This window comes from Homo sapiens, chromosome 12 (genome assembly GCF_000001405.40).
Source record: "Homo sapiens chromosome 12, GRCh38.p14 Primary Assembly".
Lineage (NCBI taxonomy): Eukaryota > Metazoa > Chordata > Mammalia > Primates > Hominidae > Homo > Homo sapiens.
This window is the reverse complement of record NC_000012.12, coordinates 67,177,344-67,200,060: the sequence shown is the minus strand read 5'-3', so window position 1 is coordinate 67,200,060 and position 22,717 is coordinate 67,177,344. Positions and strand designations below refer to the sequence as shown.

The following is a 22,717-nucleotide window of genomic DNA, read 5'->3' as shown; positions in this document are numbered from 1 at the left end:
AAAGCTGACCTTTTCCAAGGTGAATTGTTAAACTTTGGAAGGGGAGGAGAAGTTGCTTGCAACTGCATCATTCTTAAATGATACTCTGCGTAACTTAGTTAAGGGTGGGAAGAGGGAAATTTCTTAAGGCAGAGTAAAGGGGTGGGGTGGTCACAAAAGCCAAACAGGCAAGAGAAAATGTGACATTTGGAGACCTTCAAATCATTCAGGATAGGGGTAAGGAGAAAGTAAGTGGCAAGCGATGAAGCTGGGCAGAAAAGGGGCAGTCTATGAAGAGCTTGTTGGCCTTGCTAAGAAAAATTGATTTATACATTCTCAGGGCTGTGAAGGCCATTTGTATGTTTTAAACAGGTGGACGACTTAAATCAGATTTGCCTTTTAGAAGGACCACTTTCACTACAATATGGAGAATGAGGGCAGTACTAAGCAAGCAAGCATCATAGTAAAGAGACCAGGAGAGAATAGGAAGCTGTTCCAGTAATTCAGCAAAAATTTGGCAGTTGTTGACCAAGTAGTAGCAGTGGTGATAAAAAGAAGTGGAGAGAATCAAGAGATATTTAAGAGGTAGATCTGTTTGATTACTGGGTATGGGAGACACTGAATTAAGGATGACTCCCTAGTGTCTGTCTTGGGCAGTGATGCAGGTGGAGATGCATCCAAGAGAGGAGAATATAAGAAGGGAAGGCACATTTGGGGAGGGGGATAAAGATGTGTTGGGTTTTAGAAATGCTGATTTGAGGTGTGTGATATGTAAGAGGAGATGTCTGGTAGACTTTAAAAAATATACACCTGAAGGTCTGAAGGACTGGAACTCCAGATCTGGATATTAATTGGATATATGCATGTTAGTTGCAGCCACTGGAGCAGATGAAGTAGTATAGGGAGCACTTGTAGAATGAAGAGAGAAGAAACAATAGAGTAGATCCCCAAGGAACATCAACTTCTAAGAGGTTATCAGAAGAAAAATGGAATTTGGGAAGTACAGCTTGAGACAGAAAAGCTAGCTCTAACTAGTACAGAATCACAGAAACCAAGGACACTATTGCAAGAAGTGGGAACCAGTGACAGACAGCCCCAAGAGGTCAAGCAAGATAAAGGCTAAAATGGGCACATTGTATTTAGTGAACGTTAAAAGGCAGCAATGGCTTGGCCCTCAAGTTTCTTACAATTCACATGGAAATGTTTGGGAGCCTGGCATAACAAATACATGGGAAGACTTAATAGAAGCATATGAACATGTAAATTTTGCTGTTAGCATGTGTACACATAAGAATTAAAATAATCTGGCCAGGCACAGTGACTCACGCCTGTAATCCCAGCACTTTGGGAGGCCACGGCAGATGGATCACCTGAGTTCAGGAGTTCGAGACCAGCCTGGCCAACATGGTGAAACCCTGTCTCTACGAAAAACATAAAAATTAGCTGGGCATAGTGGCTGGCACTTGTAATTCCAGCTACTCGGGAGGCTGAGGCAGGAGAATCGCTTGAACCCAGGAGGCGGAAGTTGCAGTGAGCTGAGATCGCACCATTGCACTCCAGCCTCAGTGACAGAGCGAGACTCTGTCTCAAAAATAAATAATAAAAAAATTAAAATAATCTGAGTCACATTCTGTATAACTATTATAGAAAGACTTAGAAATAAATTTTTTGCAGGGTTTTTTGTTTGATTGTTTTGAGACAGGATCTCACTATATTGCCCAGGCTGGTCCTGAACTCCTGGGCTCAAGCAATCCTTGGCCTCCCAACACAGCTAGGATAACAGGTGCCCTCCACCACATCCCACAAAGTTTTATCAGAGGAAAAATTTGGCTCAGTAGAAGAAACTCCCACAGGAGAAATGGAAAATCGATCCTGTTTCTATAAAGTTTTGTGGGGTTGCTCTGAATTCTCCTCTCATATTTCATATGTTCAAGGTAAGTTTCAAAACTGTGGCTATTTTATAGTAGCAATGTATCATATCTGTGACATTTTGTATTCATTGACATATAGTATGCAAGAGTTTTCTCGCTATGGTCACTGTTGGTTTCATTTTGTGTATTGCATTTAGGCTTAAGGTTTTTTGTTTTGTGTTGTTTTTTTCACATGGGAAGAATAGGAAAGTAAGATTTACTGGGCTGGGGTCTTAGTCCCACCATATCTTTGTAGAGTAGGCTTTATTATTCCCATTTTACAAGTGAAGAGGGTGAGGTTTATAGAGATAAGTAACTTGCGTAAGATCATAATGAAGCCCAACTCTTCCTAACACAGGTTACTATGTTGCCTCTTCTCTGCTGTTCTTCATATTTGGAAAATTGTCACTAAAATACTAGTGATATTCCTATGATTTCTTCCTAATAGGTTTCTGATAATATGTCTTCATTCAAACGGCATCCTATATGTGTAGATTCCAAATCTTTGCATACAATACTTCTCTGAAAGAAAATGAACTTCAGAGTCCTTTACCTGATGACACTCTAAGCAATTAGAATAACTATTATTATTACCATCACCATCACCACTATCATACTGGCAAGTTTACTCAGATACTCATAAATCATAAAGAAAAGCCCTTTCTCAGTTGCTTAGAAATGAAAAAGGATGACCTTACAAGAAAAAGTAGTCTTTGTGCTATAATCTCAGTAATCCAAGACAGCATATTTATTCCTCAAATACTACCCACACCTTCATGTATATTTACTGATGCTTAAAATTCTATGAACAAGGAGTAAAGTCTTTTATTTCACAAGAAAGATGAGACTTAAAGGACACATGCCATTTGAAAGAAGGAAATTCGACAAGTAAAATGAACTCCAAGATCGAAATCACTGGTCTAGTTAGATCTGGGTAGCAGAGGATAGAGAACAGAAATCGCTTTATGGCTTGAGTGTCAGGAGTTAAAGGACACAACAAAAGGGGGAAGAATGAGAGGCCAAGGTGACCATAATTTGCAGCTTCATACCTTTGCTTAAAAGCATCCCCTAGACCCAGCACTTTGGGAGGCCGAGGTGGGCGGATCATGAGGTCAGGAGCTCGAGACCAGCCTGGCCAACACGGTGAAACCCCATCTCTACTAAAAATACAAAAATTAGCCAGTCCTGATGGTGGGTGCCTGTAATCCCAGCTACTCGGGAGGCTGAGGAAGGAGAATTGCTTGAACCCGGGAGGCAGAGGTTGCAGTGAGCCGCTGAGATTGCACCACTGCACTCCAGCCTGGGCAACAGAGCAAGACACTGTCTCAAAAAAAAAAAAAAAAAAAGCATCCCCTAGAAAAGTTAGTATGCTTGTAATTCCTTCTTCCCACACTTTGTAAAAAGTAAAGACAGTGTTTCTCTTTAATTCTAAAACTCTACATACTGTTTTCTTTAGAAGCTTGTCTCTGGCTTCTACTTCTGGATTTATTATGCAGTTTCTTACTTGTTGGCATGTGCTTCAGTATGTTTATCTTTATTGATGGTTTTAAATTATAAGTGCTTTGAGGCCAGGATCTAACTACCTTGCTTACCATAGCAAAATGCTATTGGTACATGTCTGCTAATCAAAGAATAAATATCATCTGATGTGGGACGTAAAAATCAGGAGCATTTTTCTTTTAATTACCTCTTAATATGTTTCAAAGGTTGAGAATGTAATGCTACCATTTTAAGCTCCTTCGAGTAAGGGTGCTATCTAAATAAATCTAAGGAGAAAAGAAACACAAAAAAGCGAAGAGGCCAAAAAGGAGCTCAGATGGCTGGGACAAGTGTTGCTGCAACCCAAATTCCTTCTAAGTAGGAAACACAGAAATTTTTTTTTTATTTTAATCTCTTGAACAGACAAGGTATGGGCTTTTTCTATTTAAAGATTTTTCTGTTTCTAGAATCTTTGATGCTCACACTTCAGGTATTCCCTTCTGAATATTGAACACTTTTATTTATCCTTTTGACATTCTCTTTCTAGTGATTAATTCAAAAAGTTTCATTTGAAATGTCCCTGAATAAAAGTCATCTGAGTATTGAAAGGGGTGATTTTTGATCAGAACATATCAGAATGTATTTTTACATTTTTAAAGCCTAGAGACACCTTGATAGGACATCCTTAGATTTCTGACAAAGTACTGGAGCTATCTCCATTTGTCTTGGTCAGTTGAACTCAGTACTAGGTTTGATCAGCCATGAGAGAGAGAGAGAGATTTATTTAAGAGAGCAATGAAACGAGATGTTATCTTGTTTAGGGATTTTTTTTATTGCTATAAATTTGTCCAAGTACTTTTCTTGGGATAATACTCCCAAATAGGGCTGCCAAGGAAATTCACATAGAATACAATGAAGAGTACATAGTGGCCACGTTCTAAGCTTACTGTCAGCCTTCCTCATGTTCTAAGCTTACTATCAGTCTTCCTCTTCCATTTCCTTCCCCTTCTCCACCCTTTCACTCCTTCTCCCATTTTTCCTGACCAACACCTTCTCTCTAGTTAGTACAAAAGATCAATATTGACAGTGGTCAATAGTAGCACTTGATGGAAAATGAGGTGAGGGAACAGTTTAAGATCATGTAAGTGGGATGTGAGAGAAAGTTTTCAAAAATTCAAAGAATTTAGGTCAATCCAGTGTTGTTTGGTACATCTTGGAGGAGAGAGGTCTTTAACATTTTTTTTTTTGAGACAGAGTTTTCCTGTTGTTGTTCAAGCTGGAGTGCAATGGCGCAATCTTGGCTCACTGCAATCTCTGCCTCCCGGCTTCAAGCAATTCTCCTGCCTCAGCCTCCCGGGTAGCTGGTATGCACCACCACACCCGGATAATTTTGTATTTTTAGTAGAGATGGAGTTTCTCCATGTTAGTCAGGCTGGTCGTGAACACTCGACCTCAGGTGATCCACCCACCTCAGCGTTCCAAAGTGCTGGGATTATAGGCATGAGCCACTGCACCCAGCCAACAATTTTTACATTTTTTTAAATTAAATTTTTATTATCAATGTGGCCTGCTTTAAGTTAGTCAGGTATTGAACAAAGGTGGTAAAAGTTGTTCTCGTACATTCAAATTAAATACTTGTTTCCTTCTTTCCCTGTTTTTAGCCATATATTTAATCAGAAATCATCTTGTTGCCTAGTTCATGAACCCAGATTTGAACTTAACCTGTAAAACACCTTAGTTAAGAAAATAATGTCAGATCATATACTTCAATAAAATTCCAATTAAATTCTCTGAGTTTAAAGGCTTCTACAACCGTTATAATCTTTAGCACAGAGAAGAGAAATGAAATAGTGGATCTTAAACAAGGCATAGAAATAACTGATCTGACATAAGACATATAAATTTTCTAAGGGTAACAAGTATTTTTTATCAAAAATCAGGAAAAGGTTAGGCAAACAGTAGCTCATGCCTGTAATCCCAGCATTTTGGGAGGTTCAAGTGGGACGATTGCTTGAGGTAGGGAGTTCACAACCAGCCTGGGCAACATACTGAGACCCATCTCTACACAAATAGAATCGGGAAAAAATAAAAGATGAGAGAAGATTAAAAAACAGAAGGTCATCTGGGCCATGAAAAGAATAAAATTCCTTTTGAGAAAAACACTCTATTAAGACAGTGCAAAATAAATTCATGAATTGAACAGCTGTGCTTTACTTCTGAAAGATTCCATTGAGAATTTATTAGCATGCATCTCATCTAAAAGCCTGGAGTTTAATTACACAAAATTATTAAAAAGAGAAAACTTGTGGTTTTTCTCTTCTTGTTAATGAGAGAGAAAAACAAATGCTTAAGTGGATCTATTCCAAGTCTTCCACAAACTGAACTGGGGACATCATTTATTAAAATAGTTTTGGGCTATATCTATAGTCTATGCTCAAGAGCCAATCCTTACCTTTGAGGAAAGAAAATACATTGTAGGAAAATAGGTTAAAGTATGAGGGTAATCTATAACCCCCTACCTCTACGCCACTCATAGTTAACAAAATATTGCCTTCACAGTGCTGAAGTTTCAGTCAGGCCAGGATCCATATCACCCACAGTGAATATAAAAGGTAGATGAAAATTATTCTTTATTACCCTCCCCAAATAAAAGAGCATAAAATAGCAAGACTATGACATTGAAACTTCCACAGCTTAATCAGAAGCAAAGCCTATGAATGAGATGGGTCATGCTTCCAAAAGCTGTCAAGAAGAAAAGTCTTGCAGTGGCTCAGGATTAGTAGAGCTGTCCAGGGTCCTGACCCCATTCACCACCATCTCTTGCCCTGTCTCCTTCCCTGTGTTTCTGTTTTAAACACTAATCATCTTGACCTTTAACATTCTTTCATAAATGATGACAACTCTTACCTACTATTTCAGAATGCTTCAAGACCTTCCAATACAACCTTACCTTAGAAAATCTTTGTAGGTGCAGGTTGCTGTCTCTACAAACACCAAGAACAGGGAGCCTGGAACACTCTGGTTTAAGTGCATGCATTGTTAACCCTGGAAAGATTTAATATCATTCTTTTTTTCTAAGGACCAATTAATTTATTTGCTTTTTTTATTTTGAGACAGAGTCTCACTCTGTTGCTTACTGCAACCTCTGCCTCCCGGATTAAAGCGATTCTCCTGCCTCAGCCTCCTGAGTGGTGGGGATGACAGGTGCACACCACCGTGCCTGGCTAATTTTTTGTATTTTTCATAGAGATGGGGGTTCACCATGTTGGCCAGGCTGGTCTCGAACCCTGAACTCAAGTGATCCGCCAGCCTCAGCCTCCCAAACTGCTGGGATTACAGGTGTGAGCCACTGCCCCCAGACCAATTTATTTACATTTAAATTATACTTCTCAAATTGGATTTCTTGGTTATAAAAATATCCATGATTTGATAGCCCTATGACCCTGTGACTACCAGCACAATTAGTTATTAAAAGATGAGGCAATACAACATACTTACAGAAACAAGATCAAGGTAAAAAGGCCAATATAGCCATGACCTGGTCAATATTTATCACAAATGTGTTCACACCCTGGAGCACATACTGCTAAAAGGTAAAACTAGTTGGATATTAGTGTTGCACAGTCTGGTTACCAGGAAGTATTACTACAGTGTTTTCTGCTTTAAACAAAGAACTAAAAATATGCCCTGCAACTCTTTATCAGGTAAGAATATCAATTGTCTGATGTGATTTAATATCTATCATTTACAGATTTATTATGTCTTTCTCTTGAAATCACAAATGCTCAAAAAACCTCCTATTCATGTAATTCATGTAAAATATGATGGCTTATGATTGGACACTTTGTTTTTACTCTGAGAAGTTAGATTATTATTGAAAATATATAAATGCGTATAGCTAATTTGCCAAAAGCTGTGTTTTAAATCCAGTAAATGTGTTTTTAAATAATGCAACTTCTGACCTGGTTAGTATTCAAAACCAAAAACTGAAATTCTGCCACCCTCTTTGCAGTCTATTGATTTGAGAACTACAGCTGCTGAAATTAAACTTTATTGTTAGCATAGAGCTTTCAGCTGAGGAAGCAATTTCAAATTGGTTTCTTTTCTAGCCCAGCTTAATATTAAGTAAATATGTGCCTATAAGTGTCTCTAGCTAGATTATTACCTAAAGTGGTGCATGCAACTTTGCAGGTGCAGCTCCGGGAAACGAAAATCTACTTTGGTGATGAATCTTCCTATCCAATGGGTAAACACATGTTTTAAAATTGAATGCATGGTTATCCCCAGAGTACAAGAATGTTTTCAAAGTTAGACCTTTTTTGTTTAACATACTTTTTAATTTAGTGCTCCAAGCTATAGAGATACAGAAATGAAATGGCCACAGTCCCTGTTCTGGAGGAACACCTATTTAAAAAGAAGATAGAACCATATATTATAACGTACCATGAAAATAAATAACGGAGATTTGCACAGTGTACAATGGTAAAGGGCTCTTGTTTACGAGTGGAGGGGGCAGTAATTTTAGGGACTAGGGAATGAAAATTACCCCCGAGGAAATCAAATAGGGACTGATGAGACAAATGCCTTTGCTTTATTTTTTTAAATAGCAAGTTCAATTTCCTGGTTCAAGAAATAGCTTCTATTCTCTAAAAATAATAAAATAATGTTCCCCTGCTGGCATAAACACTAACGGAAGTAGCGGAAATAATAACCCATCATTTTATAGACATTCTGAAAGACAAGGAAAATGATGAATAGAAGAATACTATGAAAAGCTATGAATTTTGAATAACAAGATCAGTAAAGATATTACCTATTTTGATTTCAAATCTATAGGCAGTGAAATTTTGGAAACTTGAGGAAAGGAACACAATACATTTTCATGAATGTCTTATCTTTTAAAGAATATTGTGCCTTTCGAAGTTATGCCTTGCAATAGGATGAAAAAAATTAGAAATTTGTCTCAGAAATCAATAAAACTTGACTTAGTTTGATACTATGCCAATTTAAGCTTACAACTGAATAGAATCAGATTTCCCTTCCTAATAAAGAAAGCCATAGCTGCTACTCTACGTACATATATATCTCTACCACAAAAACCCAACCCTCCATATCATGTCAATTTGCCTGCTCTGATGCATTTTTGTGTCATAAAGAGATGAGACTGATAGTTTTGAGTGAAACTCTTTGTAGAAACCACTTTTATCAATTGACTATGAAGAATAAGGAAAACCAGTCCAAACTATATACCCTGTATCTATATAACACAAACATGAGTGACAATTGGTCACTTTACCTTATGATTAAACAAAAGAAAAAGACTTATTTAGATAATTCAGTTCAAATAGATTTGAGAGGCTATGGTTTGGTTCCAGGAAACCAAATATAACACTCAAGAATACAGGATAAGAAAGGAAAACCACTATGCTGCCCACAAGCCAAGGAGACAAAGCTGTAAATGGTGACCAAGCTCAGGAACACCTTCATCTCCTAAAAAGAATCCATCAGCCAAGATTTATACATATTCTTATATACACAGCGCAACCGTCACCATTACCACCACCACCACCACCACAACTAACACTTACTGGGCATTTACTATGTGCCAGATATTATTCTAAGTGATACATCTTTGTTATTTTAGTACATGTCTGCAACAACCCCATATGAGCAATGTCTTTCCATATTTCACCGAATCTAAGACACCATTGATGATGAGACATGATTTTTTTTTATATTGCTAAGAAAGTAAAAGCATAAACTATGATTGGCTTTCCATTTTAAGCCACATTTAGATTTTAGAGCTAAACTATGAAATTATGTGCACTTAGGATTCAATGAAATTCAATAACATGGCCCTTATTTTACAAAGGAGCACACTACAGCTCAGAGGAGTTAAGTTAACTTTCCCAAGGTCACTCACATTCAAGCAAGATAAAGAAAGTGGAAGAGACAGGGTATGATTCTGGGTCCGACAGACGCAGGTTCCCTCACCAGTGCCACCCTCTATTTTTATGATCTAGAACAACCAACTCTTGCTTTCCCATCTTTTGAAGCAGGAATTTTAGCTTTGAAGTAGATTATTTCTAAGATCCCTTTCAGCTTCCAGTGGTTGAATTCTCAGGTTTTTTATCTTCACAAACAGGCTGTGGTTTGGAATTTAATGAGAAAAAGACATGATAATTCACAGCGTAATTTTATGACTGTGGAAATGAGAACAGGCCCTACAAAAGAAATCAGACTTGGGGCAACATAGTGGAAGTAGCAGTGCTTTTTGAATCTGAAAGCCCTGATTTCCAGCACCAATACCAATGCACATTCTTTTTAAACTATGTGATACTGGGTGAGATGCTTACCCTCTTTGAGCTGGAGTTTCTTTATCAAAAAATAACAATGTGCCTATTTCAAAGGGATGTTGTGAAGATGACCTATTATAGTGAAAGTGAATCCCTTGTTATGGAACAGTTGTTCCATAAAGGCTAGTTGCCCATGTGCCCAAAACGTTACTCTAAATTAAAAGTATAGTCCGGCCGAGGCGGGCGGATCACGAGGTCAAGAGATCCAGACCATCCTGGCCAACATGGTGAAACCTGTCTCTACTAAAAATACAAAAATTAGCTGGGCATGGTGGAGAGTGCCTGTAATCCCAGCTACTCAGGAGGCTGAGGCAGGAGAATCACTTGAACTAGGGAGTCGGGGGGTGCAGTGAGCCGAGATCGTGCCACTGCACTCCATCCTGGCGACAGAGCGAGACTCTATCTCAAAAATAAATAAATAAATAAATAAACAAACAAACAAATAAATAAATAAAGTGTAGTCCACTCTTGGGCACTGTACATTTTTGGGCTCTATGTATTCTCTTCTTACAAATGTCACAGGACAATGGTACTGGAAAGTTGAAAAGAATGGGGGAAATTGTGCAAGGTATTACTAAGAGACAGGCATTTTGTATGTAAGAGTTGTAGATATTTGTTATTCCCCACCTCACCCAGTATCCATTCCCCCTTCTTCTGGCAAAGTGCCATGGAAAGTACTGTCTTTTCCATTTTGTCCAGAATTCATGGACACAATCCATTGTCCATGGATTTTTGAATTGAGTTGACTGGACACCTAACTCCATAGAGGGGCATGAAATTCAGGCTTGGAAAATCAAATATTTCATCAGATCTCATGAGATTCAATTTGTGAAGTTTTGCTGCAACTGTTGAGAGGAAGCATGTGCTCTTTCCTGCTGGACTTGAACCTTGAAATTTGAAGTTGTGGATGGCCATCTTGCTATCCTGAGAGTGTAAGAAATAACACAACATGGTTGAGAACAGAGTTGAGAGATGGGAAGAGACAGTGTCCTGATGACATCACCCCATAAGCTAGTAAGTTCCTTTTTTGTGTGTATGAACTAAGTTCTCCCCTTCTTTCTTTCCCTCTTTCTTTCTTTCCTTCTTTCTTTCTTTCTTTCTTTCTTTCTTTCTTTCTTTCTTTCTTTCTTTCTTTCTTTCTTTCTTTCTTTCTTTCTTTCTTCTAGTACTGTAAATTCCTCTCTTGTTTAAATCTATTTGGGTTAGGTTGTCTGTTACTTGCAACCCGGAAATATTCTAGGTAACCCCAAATAAGATAATGTCATTTGCTTTCTTGAGGGAATTTGACTTGGGAAGAGAAACTACTACTAATTTCATTACCTAATTCTCTTCCTGAAACTGGGCAGAGTCAAGAGCATCACTGCCATTTTGCAAGCTGCCTGATTTGCAAGACTGAGTGACAGAAAGTCATGTATGACAGAAAAGGGCCACTACATCTCTCCTAGTTCCCAAAGTATGAACAATCCATACCTACATTGCTCCTAAAGTTGCTACTTGTTTGTCTTCCTAGACACAATCTTTTAATAATCAAAGATCATATTCATTCTAGAGATTGCTTTTAGATTTTTCTCTCTAAATCTTTTAGTAGAACCAGTAAAATCTAACTCTAAAATAGATTGGTGTAAGTTCCATTTCCTCTCTTCTTTATAATTGCACTGATGAAGGGTTCAATGCAAATGAAAAGCAGGCTGCAGGAGAAGGAAGGGAAGCCATGAGGCCTGAGCCAGCTAAATACAGATCAGAGAAAGAATTCCAGGGTGGAGAAAATTGGGTATGCAGTAACTTGGAGTTACTCTTTTCAAGTCAGGACATTCATTAAGTGCTGCTCTAAATCCTATATGCAATTTGGATAAAGTCTAAAAGTATATCCAATTCACATTCCTTAGATGGTATTTACAGCTTTCCATCATCTCAGGCAAAACCAGTTTTCTAGCCTCCCTCTTCCCTTCTTTCCCGTACTAATCAACTATTTCAGCTAGACCCATCCACTCCAATCTCTTGAACACATTCAATAGATTTCATTGCTGTGGCTTTGATCTTGCCATTTCCTCTCTTAAGGAAACCTTTCATCTCCTTTCAACTTTCCTAAGTCCCACAGGAATCAAATCCATTTCCTCTTGTCTTACAAAGCTTTCCCTAACCTCTTTAGCTGAAAAGGATTTTTCCTTACTCTTAACACTGAGAGCATTTACTGTCTATCCCTCATTTGGCTTGCATTTATATACTGCCTTGCACCATTAACTGTCCTTTAATGTATATGCATTTCATTTCTCCAATTAAATTGAGGTTAAGCATGATTATCCTTATGTTTCATAGTAAACCCATTAGTACCTGGTAAGTGATTTGTACAAAGTAAGTGTTCAAAAAATAACTTGTTTGTAGATTAAGAATTGAGTCTAGGCAAAATGCTGCCCTGTGCATGTTTTTGCTCACAATTTCTCTTGAGAACAGTGTTAGTAACTGGGTGACAAATCTGAAAGAGGCAAAAATGTGGTGGTTTGGGAAGAAATGGCAAATGGATAAATGTTAAATGGGAGGAGATAAAGAAGGAGACCAGGTCAGTAGAGCTGAAATGAAACACATATGATAGAAGACATGGAGATTGTATAGAAGCTTCTTTCCCAAGACTTCTACAAATGGTACCTACAAAAACTTCAGTCAACTTCAGCAAGATCAGCCCCAATACAAACATGTGGGAAGTTGTTTAGTTCAAGTTCCCTGTCCTTTTAATGATACTGAAGCATCTCTTTGCAGCTAGGCAGTGATAATAAAATTCCAAGAGGAGAATAATAATTCAACATGCACAAAAGAAAGCGTGAGATCAACACTACAGAAAGAAAGCCTAGAATTTCAGGCACAAGTACTGCACAGAGTGGTGAATAGAGCTCGATTTAAAATATAGCTGTGTGATTTGGGATCATTTACTTAGCACTTTTGAGGATCAGTTCCCTTCGGTGTAAAATGGCAGTAAGCTTACTCTGACAGAGACTGCTAGCAGCCTAGCCAATGTACATTCTCCCCACTACCCCTCTCCTTTCTTGCTAGCAGAATCTCTGTATTGTTGAAAGCAACAATGCGCTAAAAGGGCATTTCCTATCCTTACTTACAGATAAGGGTGAGATCACAGTTCAGAAGTCACTGTACTGAGCTTTTTGGAAATCTCTTTAAAAGAGAGCTGACTCAGCTAGGAGGTGTGCCCTTCTGCATTTAACTGCCTTCTTCCTCCTTCCACCTGGAACATGGATATGACAGCTGGAGCTATGGTGGCCCTCCTGCCACCACAAGGCAATCATGAGGCTAGAAGCCATTCACTAAGTCTAATAAACAGAGAGATGAAAGAAACCTGGGTAACTGATGGCCGTGGAGCTGGCCTGGGATTGACAAACTTTGGATTTTTTCAAATGTGAGAGAAAAATAAATTTCTTTCTTGTTTAGTCTGTTGTTCTTCTGTCTCTTTTACCAATAACCAAATGCAATTCCTACTTCCTAGAATTGCTATGTACATTACATGAAACAATATTTATGAAGAGTCCATATATGTGCTATTATCTTTTCTTTATATAATTTATAAAAGACTTAATCATGGAGTAAATAAGTAATGTTTGGAATATCAATTCAGATTAAAACACTGCCATTTTAGCTCATTTTTTCACCTGCATATAACATTGATAAATATCTCAAGATATTATTATTCCATATGTGCATATCATGATTATTGCAAACTCTCCTCTTGTTCTACTTGCACTCTCTTTGGATCAGGTGTGCATGGACTTACTGTTTTTCTACTCTGCACCTTTTATCCTGTTACTTTTCACACACAAAAGGTCCTCACTCTATTCTCTGTCTACCCAAAGCCTGTTCATTCTTCAAATTTCATCTGATTTCCTCAGTCCATAGTAACCACTCCCCATAAATGCCGCTTACAGTGATTCTTCCCCACTTGAACTCCCTTATCAATTATCTATAATAAATTATTTGGCACTGAATAATTTCCTTTTTATCTTCCTTTTAGTTGTCTGATATGCATAAGTCTTATCCTCTGTACAAAACTGTTACCTCCTTGAGAGAAGTAACATATTTAAGGAACATTCAGTAATATCAACAGACATGAGACAGATAAAGATATCTTTTTTGTTGGTTTAAACTCAGCATAACTCAGGATCCCTCTCCTGTTCTTCAATCTCCAACAGAATCTAGCACAGAATGGGGCACAGAGAAGATGCCTAATTAGTACATGCTTCACGTAATTGAAAACTCTTGCCATGTTTAGGTCATGATGCCACCATAAAAAACATTCAACTGATATTTAATCAAGAATTTTCATCTGAAAATTTAAAGTGCCTGCCCAATGAACCTAATGTTCTGGGACAAACCAGTACAACGGAAAAGAACACACAGCTAGCCAGAGACAAAATGGAAAAATACCAGGCTGGTCAAGAACCATTTCCAAGTTCTCTGTTTCCTTCCCTGACCAAAGAATTTATTCAATCTAATCAAAGCAGCACTTCAGCTTAATGCCAGTGAGTTTCTTTCCACCTGAGAGAGGCAAAAGCTGAGTTTACCACCTTAGAAGAAGCCTATATTGACATGTTTTAAATTACCCCTTAGAATATCTCTTACAGAACAATTATCATTTCCACCTATCACTTCTTTGGAGGTGATATTTTCATGTTAAGTCAGAGGTTAAATATAACAATTAATTTAATTTGTAATTTCCCATTTCTTTTAGAGCCTTGAAACAGAAATTGCTTTTATTAAAGTATGAGTTGAAAGTCACAACAAAATCATGTGGCAGAGTAAGTGTACAAAAAATAAAAAGAAAGAGTCAAAAGGTAAGAAATTCATTTCTACATTTGAGAATTAAAGCAAGTTGCCAGAAAACTAAAATGCAACTGGTAATAATTTGATGAATATTTTAAGGGAGAACAGCAATTGCCCATTAATAAAGGTGGAGCATCCAGAGAAGCATCTTTATTTTTTTAAAATTATACAACGAATGTGTGCTTACTGCAGAAAAACTAGAAAACATAGATGAGGAGAGAGAAAACAGGGAAGAAATATTTTTAAATCACCCAAGAGCCCAGCACCCTGGAATAGAAAAGCAACTATTGACATCTGGGAGAATAACCATTAAGAATATGTATATTGTTAACAGAATAATAAGTTAGATTCTTCTTTTTCTGCCACAGTTGAGGCAAAGGCCAGTTGAGGACAAAGAGGACTAATTACTTCACACTCTGACTTTCAGTCCCTGGGGACAGACTTCTTCCTGCAGGCTTGCTGGGAAGTTCCAGTACAATATCAGGCACTAATGCCACTTCCAACCCACCCACCAGTTTACATAGGATGAAGGGGAAAGGCAGAAGGATGTTGACTACTGTTGGGAATATAGTGTTTTGGTTCTTCTTTCTTCCTTCCTTCCTTCCCTCCCTCCCTTCCCTCTCCTCCCCTCCCCTCCCCTCTCCTCCTCTCTCCTCCCCTCTCCTCCCCTCTCCTCCCCTCTCCTCCCCTCTCCTCCCCTCTCCTCCCCTCTCCTCTTCTCTCCTCTCCTCTCCTCTCTCTCTTCCTCCTCCTCCCTCCTCCCTCCTCCTCCTCCTCCTCCTCCTCCTCCTCCTCCTCCTCCTCCTCCTCCTTCTTCTTCTTCTTCTTCTTCTTCTTCTTCTTCTTCTTCTTCTTCTTCTTCTTCTTCTTCTTCCTCTTCTTCTTCTTCTTCCTCTTCTTCTGCAGGAGATTTCTTTCTCTTCCCTGAATAAGAATGAGAGGACTTCAAAAGAATCCCCCTTAAATATTAGGGTGCCTGTAAGGCAGGGTACCAGCATCTTTTTCTCCAGTTGGATGCTGGCTCAGGGCAGATTCTCATACATGCATCCTGTATAGTAGCAGAGCATGGCAAGACAGTTTTTGGGAAGAGAGTTGTGGCTCTGAGAATCTGGGAATATGGGAGTGTAATTTTAAGCACTTCTTTATGTCTCTGAGGGTAAGAACGTTTGCTCTTCCATATGTCCCCCAAGGCTTGGGCATGTATAGCAGCAGGGCATAGTGAGAGAGTTCTTAGGAAGGGATTTGGGGTGCTGAAAATCTAGGGACATGGTAGAGTGATTTTAAGCACTTCTTTATGTCTATGGAGAAAAGAATGTTTGCTCCTTCTATGTGACCCCTGAGATTGGGGAATGTACTTGTTCTGGAGAGTTCTGAAAGTAGGAGACCCTCTTTGGAAGGCCATGTAAGCAATGCTTGAGTGTAAGGTACTTGGGAAGAACAGTGATCCAATTCCTACCCCATTCCTGTTTTCTAGATGCCTTGTAAGGCATAAAAGACCCTCACAATTTTCCTGACTCCACATAAATGAGCATGGGTATTAAAAGATGGGAATCTTGAAGCTGCCCAGATGTGTATATGTGTGTTCTGATAACATGTAGCTTGTTCACACCAACTCTCCTGTTGAAAAAAAACTAGGAATACTGGATGAAACATTTTTTAAAAAACCTCAAGAGCACATAAAAGCCAATGAGATATAAATAGTTACCAGGTTAAAATTTAAGTACAAGAAGCAACTGACTAAAAAGCCAAAGACAAAATCTTTTGTCTTGAGGACATTTGCTTAAACAGAAGAAAATGAGCTGCAGCTTTCACTGCCTGAATGCCATAGGGAAGTAGATGGGGCACCTAGAACCTATCCATCTCTCTACAAAACTGGAATCCCAAAGTACTACACACTTAGCATAAAGATAAATTAGAAAAGATTATCAAACAACTATACCTACTATAGTTAAAGAAATTAAAAACAAACCTGAAAATATCAGCAAGAAACAGATAATTAAAGTGAACTAGCAGATTTGAAAAAAAAATAGGTATATTTAACAGGAGACAAGACACAGTTGAGGAGAGAATTACTAAACTAGAAGATGGGTCAGAGAAATTATTCAAAATGCAGAGCAGAGACAGCAAAAGATGGAGAATATAGAGGAGAGGTAAAGAGTCATAGGAAATAAAGAGAGATGGTTAAATATGTATTTAATTGGAGTTCTGAAGGACAGAGAATGAGACAAAGGCATATTTGGATAGATAGCATCTGAAATTCTTCTAGAGATGAAATATACCAATCAACCCACTCTAGAAGTCCAGTGATTCTTAAATGGACTAAATAAAAAGAAAATTATATCTAAACACACCACAGTAAAATCTCAGAAACCCAAGCAAGGTAAATCTTAAAACAGACAAATTTTAAAAAGGAAAATTACTGACAGACTTCTCAAGAATAAAAGTGAAAGCCAGAAGACAGGAGAATGACCTATCCAATGTGCTACAAGAAAGTTACTATCAACAGATTTTACACACAGCAAAATGATCTTTCAAGAATGAAGGTAAAATAAAGACAATTTTGGTCCAATGAAAACCGAGAGAGTGTGTGACTAGTAGACCCTGTCAAAAGAAAATTCTAAAGGAGTATTTAAGGCAGAAGGAAAATAATCCCAGAGAAAGAGTCTATAATCCAAGAAGAAATGAAGAGCAAAGAAAGTGTTAAATATGGGATTGATCCAAATGACCATTGAATGTTATAAGCGACAGTAATAATGTTATGAGGTATGAATAAAATGATGTCATTAAAATACATGAAAACAACCAAATAAAATTATGGGAGGGCTAAATGGAATTGAAGTATTTTAAAATCAATGACAAAATAAAGGTATTTATTAGCTTAATATTTGTATAATTAAAGTACACACACTACAGCAAATCTAGTGTAACAACTAAATGAATAGAAACAAAGTAAATAACATTACAAATTTGTAGAAGAAAAATCAAGTCCATGTAAGGCAATACAGAGAGAAAAACACACTAGGTGGGACAAATTGTTTAAAACAATAAAGTAGATACAAAACTAAATGCATCAGTAAATGCTTTAAATAAAGGACAAAGATAGCCAAAAAATTTCAGTTACATGCTGTTTACTAGGCATAGAGCTAAAACACAAAAATATAGAAAGTTTAAAAGGATTGAAAAAAAGATGAAGTTAAATACTATAACTCCCCCATCAAAAGCAGGTATAACAAGATAATATTATACAAAATGGATTTCAAGACAAAAAATACTAGAGATTAAGATAATTATATAAAAATATAACTACTCCAAATTTGTATAAAATATATAATATGGTATCAAAAATCATGAATCAAAAATTGATAAACATATAAGAAAAATAGATAAATTTATGAGCATAGTGGAAGTTTTCTAACACTCTTTAAAGATTTTTTTTTCAACAAAGAGGCAAGAGTTCAGCATAGAAATAGAAAAGTTGAACAATACAATTTACACCCTTGACCTAATGGTTATATACAGAACACAGCATCAATATCTGCTGAATACATGTTCCTTTTAAAACACAGGAAAGTTTATGAAATTGACTCCTGAGCCATCAAGTTTCAAAGGATTGAAATCACATAGTATATATTCTCTGGCTATCTTGCAATTCAGCGAGAAGTAAAAACCAAGAAGATAACTATAAAATCCCCGTATGTTTGGAAATTTTAAAAAATATGTGTCTAAAACAACTATATTGGTTAAACAGGAAATCATAATGAAAAGTAGAAAATATTTTGGACTAAGTGATAATAAAAATATTACATATCAAAAATTGTAAAATATCGCCAAAGCAGTACTAAGAGGAAATTTATACTCTTACAAGCAAATATTAGAGAAAAAAAATTGGTGAACACTGAGCTAAATACCCAGCTGAAGACATTTAGAAAAGATCAAAATAAAACTCAAAGGGAGCAGAAAGCAGAAATAGAATGAAGAGCAGAAATTTATGAGATTGTAAATAAACATACAGTAGAGAGGAACAACGAAGCCAAAGCTGTTTTCTGAGAATAATAATTAGATTATAAAACTGTGAAAATGATCAAGAAATTAATAGTGAAGGCACTGTTAATCATATCAGGAACAATCTCAGGAATGAAAAGGTGAGTATCACTACAGATGCCTTAGACATCTTTAAAAGATAATAAATTGAATTCAACAGGCAACTCTGTGACAAAATTGGTAACGTCTCACATGAAAATAGAACAAAAACAGACTCAAGAAGTCGAAATCTTGAATAGTTCTGTAACTATTGAATGAATTGAATCTGTAGTCAAATTTCCTACACAGACCAACAAAAATTTGTCAGGGCCAAATAGTTTCATTGGTGAGTTCTTTCAAATACTCAAAGAATAAATAGTCCATTTTTCTATAAACACTAACAGAGAACAGAAAAAGAAGAAACACTTCCCAACTCATTTTGTCAGGCCAGCAAAACCTTGATACTAGAATCTAAAAGGATGAGAAAAAATTACAGACCAATTTCACTCATGAAAAATATGCAAAACTCCTAAGCAAAAAACAGGTGTTAGCAAACCAAATCTGGCATTATGTAAAACAATATTATACCATCATACCAAGAAACAAGAAAATCATTTAATACTATTTAACATTATTTCATGATGAAAATTCTTAGCAATCTAAAAATAAAAGGGGACTTTGTCAATCGACTGAAGGTTATCTACAAAAATGCCTACTGAATATATCATACTTAATAGCAACACATGAAAAGCTTTGCTTTGATATTAGAAATGAGACAGAGATGCACACTATCACTACTTCCGTGATACGTTGTAATAAAGGTCTTCAATATCACAGTAAAAATGAAAATTATGTAATAGTGAAAAGACTAGGAGAGATAATAAAAATGGTAATTTTCACAGGTGAAATTTCTGTATACATAGAAAATATCAAAGAATCTATACGTAAACTCTTAGAATTCCGAATAGAATTTAACAAGGTTGCTGCATACACAATATGCAAAACTAAATTATTGTAAGTAATAACAATTAAGATTGACATTAAGAACAAAAAGTAAAATTTTCCAAATTTTTGAGTACTCAGAAATAAGGTCAACTAAAAGACATGTAACTCCTCTAAAGCCTTAACCACTTAAGAGGAGAGTATCTTTATGTCTTTAGAAGAGAGAAGAACTTATTTAACTATATATAAATAGCAACAACTATAAAGGAAAATAATTTAAATACAACTATATTAAAAGAATTTATATTACCGAGATGCTATAAAAACAATGATAAGATGAGTGCAGCATAGGAAAATATGATTACAACACAGATCACTGACAAAGGTACAGGTAAAACTGTAGTGTTCATACAAACGATTCAAAATTTTAGTTTCTTTTTAAATAGAGATAGAGGTATGGTTATGTTGCCCAGGCTGGTTTTGAAATCCTGGCTTCAAGTGATCCTCTTGTCTCGGCCTCACAAAGTGGGATTACAGGTGGGACTCAATTTTTTGTTTGTTTGTTTTATTTATATATTTATTTTTAATTATACTTTAAGTTCTAGGGTACATGTGCACAATGTGCAGGTTTGTTACATATGTATACATGTGCCATGTTGGTGTGCTGCACCCATTAACTCGTCATTTACATTAGGTATATCTCCTAATGCTATCCCTCCCCCTCCCCCACTTCACCACAGGCTCCAGTGTGTGATGTTCCCCACCCTGTGTCCAAGCGTTCTCATTGTTCAATTCCCACCCATGAGTGAGAACTTGTGGTGTCTGGTTTTCTGTCCTTGCAATAGTTTGCTCAGAATGATGGTTTCCAGCTTCATCCATGTCCCTACAAAGGACATTAACTCATCCTTTTTATGGCTGCATAGTATTCCATGGTGTATATGTGCCACATTTTCTTAATCCACTCTATCATTGATGGACATTTGGGTTGGTTCCAATTCTTTCCTATTGTGAATAGTGCCGCAATAAACATACGTGTGCATGTGTCTTTATAGCAGCATGATTTATAATCCTTTGGGTATATACCCAGTAATAGGATGGCTGGGTCAAATGGTATTTCTAGTTCTAGATCCTTGAGGAATCGCCACACTGTCTTCCACAATGGTTGAACTAGTTTACAGTCCCACCAACAGTGTAAAATTGTTCCTATTTCTCCACATCCTCTCCAGCACCTGTTGTTTCCTGACTTTTTAATGATCGCCATTCTAACCGGTGTGACACGATATCTCATTGTGGTTTTGATTTGCATTTCTCTGATGGCCAGTGATGATGAGCATTTTTTCATGTGTCTGTTGGCTGCATAAATGTCTTCTTTTGAGAAGTGTCTGTTCATATCCTTCGCCCACTTTTTGATAGGGTTGTTTGATTTTTTCTTGTAAATCTGTTAAAGTTCTTTGTAGATTCTGGATATTAGCCCTTTGTCAGATGAGTAGATTGCAAAAATTTTCTCCCATTCTGTAGGTTGCCTGTTCACTCTGATGGTAGTTTCTTTTGCTGTGCAGAAGCTCTTTAGTTTAATTAGATCCCATTTGTCAATTTTGGCTTTTGTTGCCATTGCTTTTGGTGTTTTAGTCATGAAGTCTTTGCCCGTGCCTATGGCCTGAATGGTATTGCCTAGATTTTCTTCTAGGGTTTTTATGGTTTTAGGTTTGATATTTGAGTCTTTAATCCATCTTGAATTAATTTTTGTGTAAGGGGTAAGGAAGGGGATCCAGTTTCAGCTTTCTACATATGGCTAGCCAGTTTTCCCAGCACCATTTATTAAATAGGGAATCCTTTCCCCATTTCTTGTTTTTGTCAGGTTTGTCAGAGATCAGATGGTTGTACAGGTGTGGTATCATTTCTGAGGGCTCTGTTTTGTTCCATTGGTGTATATCTCTGTTTTGGTACCAGTACCATGCTGTTTTGGTTACTGTAGCCTTGTGTAGTTTGAAGTCAGATAGTGTGATGTCTCCAGCTTTGTTCTTTTGGCTTAGGATTGTCTTGGTAATGCGTGCTCTTTTTTGGTTCCATATGAACTTTAAAGTAGTTTATTCCAATTCTGTGAAGAAAGTCTTTGGTAGCTTGATGGGGATGGCATTGAATCTATAAATTACCTTGGGCAGTATGGCCATTTTCACAATATTCTTTCTTCCTATCCATGAGCATGGAATGTTCTTCCATTTGTTTGTGTCCTCTTTTGTTTCGTTGAGCAGTGGTTTGTAGTTCCCCTTGAAGAGGTCCTTCACATCCCTTGTGAGTTGGATTCCTAGGTATTTTATTCTCTTTGAAACAATTGTGAATGGGAATGGGAGTTCACTCACGGTTTGGCTCTCTGTTTGTCTTTTATTGGTGTATAGGAATGCTTGTGATTTTTGCACATTGATTTTGTATCCTGAGACTTTGCTGAAGTTGCTTATCAGCTTAAGGAGATTTAGGGCTGAGACAATGGGGCTTTCTAAATATACAATCATGTCATCTGCAAACAGGGACAATTTGACTTCCTCTTTTCCTAATTGAATACCCTTTATTTCTTTCTCCTGCCTGATTGCCCTGGCCAGAACTTCCAACATTATGTTGAATAGGAGTGGTGAGAGAGGGCATCCCTGTCTTGTGCCAGTTTTCAAAGGGAATGCTTCCAGTTTTTGCCCATTCAGTATGATATTGGCTGTGGGTTTATCATAAATAGCTCTTATTATTTTGAGATACGTCTCATCAATACCTAGTTTATTGAGAGTTTTTATTATGAAGGGCTGTTGAATTTTGTTGAAGGCCGTTTCTGCATCTGTTGAGATAATCATGTGGTTTTTGTCTTTGGTTCTGTTTATATGATGGATTATATTTATTGGTTTGGTTTGCGTATGTTGAACTAGCCTTGCATCCCAGGGATGAAGCCAACTTGATAGTGGTGGATAAGCTTTTTGATGTGCTGCTGGATTCAATTTGCCAATATTTTACTGAGGATTTTTGCATCAATGTTCATCGGGGATATTGTTCTAAAATTCTCTTTTTGTGTGTGTGTCTCTGCCAGGCTTTGGTATCAGGATGATGCTGGCCTCATAAAATTCTGGCCTCCATAAAAGGTTTCCCTCTTTTTCTATTGATTGGAATAGTTTCAGAAGGAATGTTACTAGCTCCTCTTTGTACCTCTGGTAGAATTAGTCTGTGAATCTG

At 37.1% G+C, this 22,717-nt stretch overlaps 1 annotated feature.

The window, feature by feature from the left end:
• Positions 11,505-12,006: an enhancer, noted in NCBI's record as "NANOG hESC enhancer chr12:67581835-67582336 (GRCh37/hg19 assembly coordinates)". NCBI's record gives its function as "activates a minimal SCP1, AML or CMV promoter by ChIP-STARR-seq in primed H9 embryonic stem cells {active_cell/tissue: H9 hESC(primed)}" and the evidence as "EXISTENCE:reporter gene assay evidence [ECO:0000049][PMID:30033119]".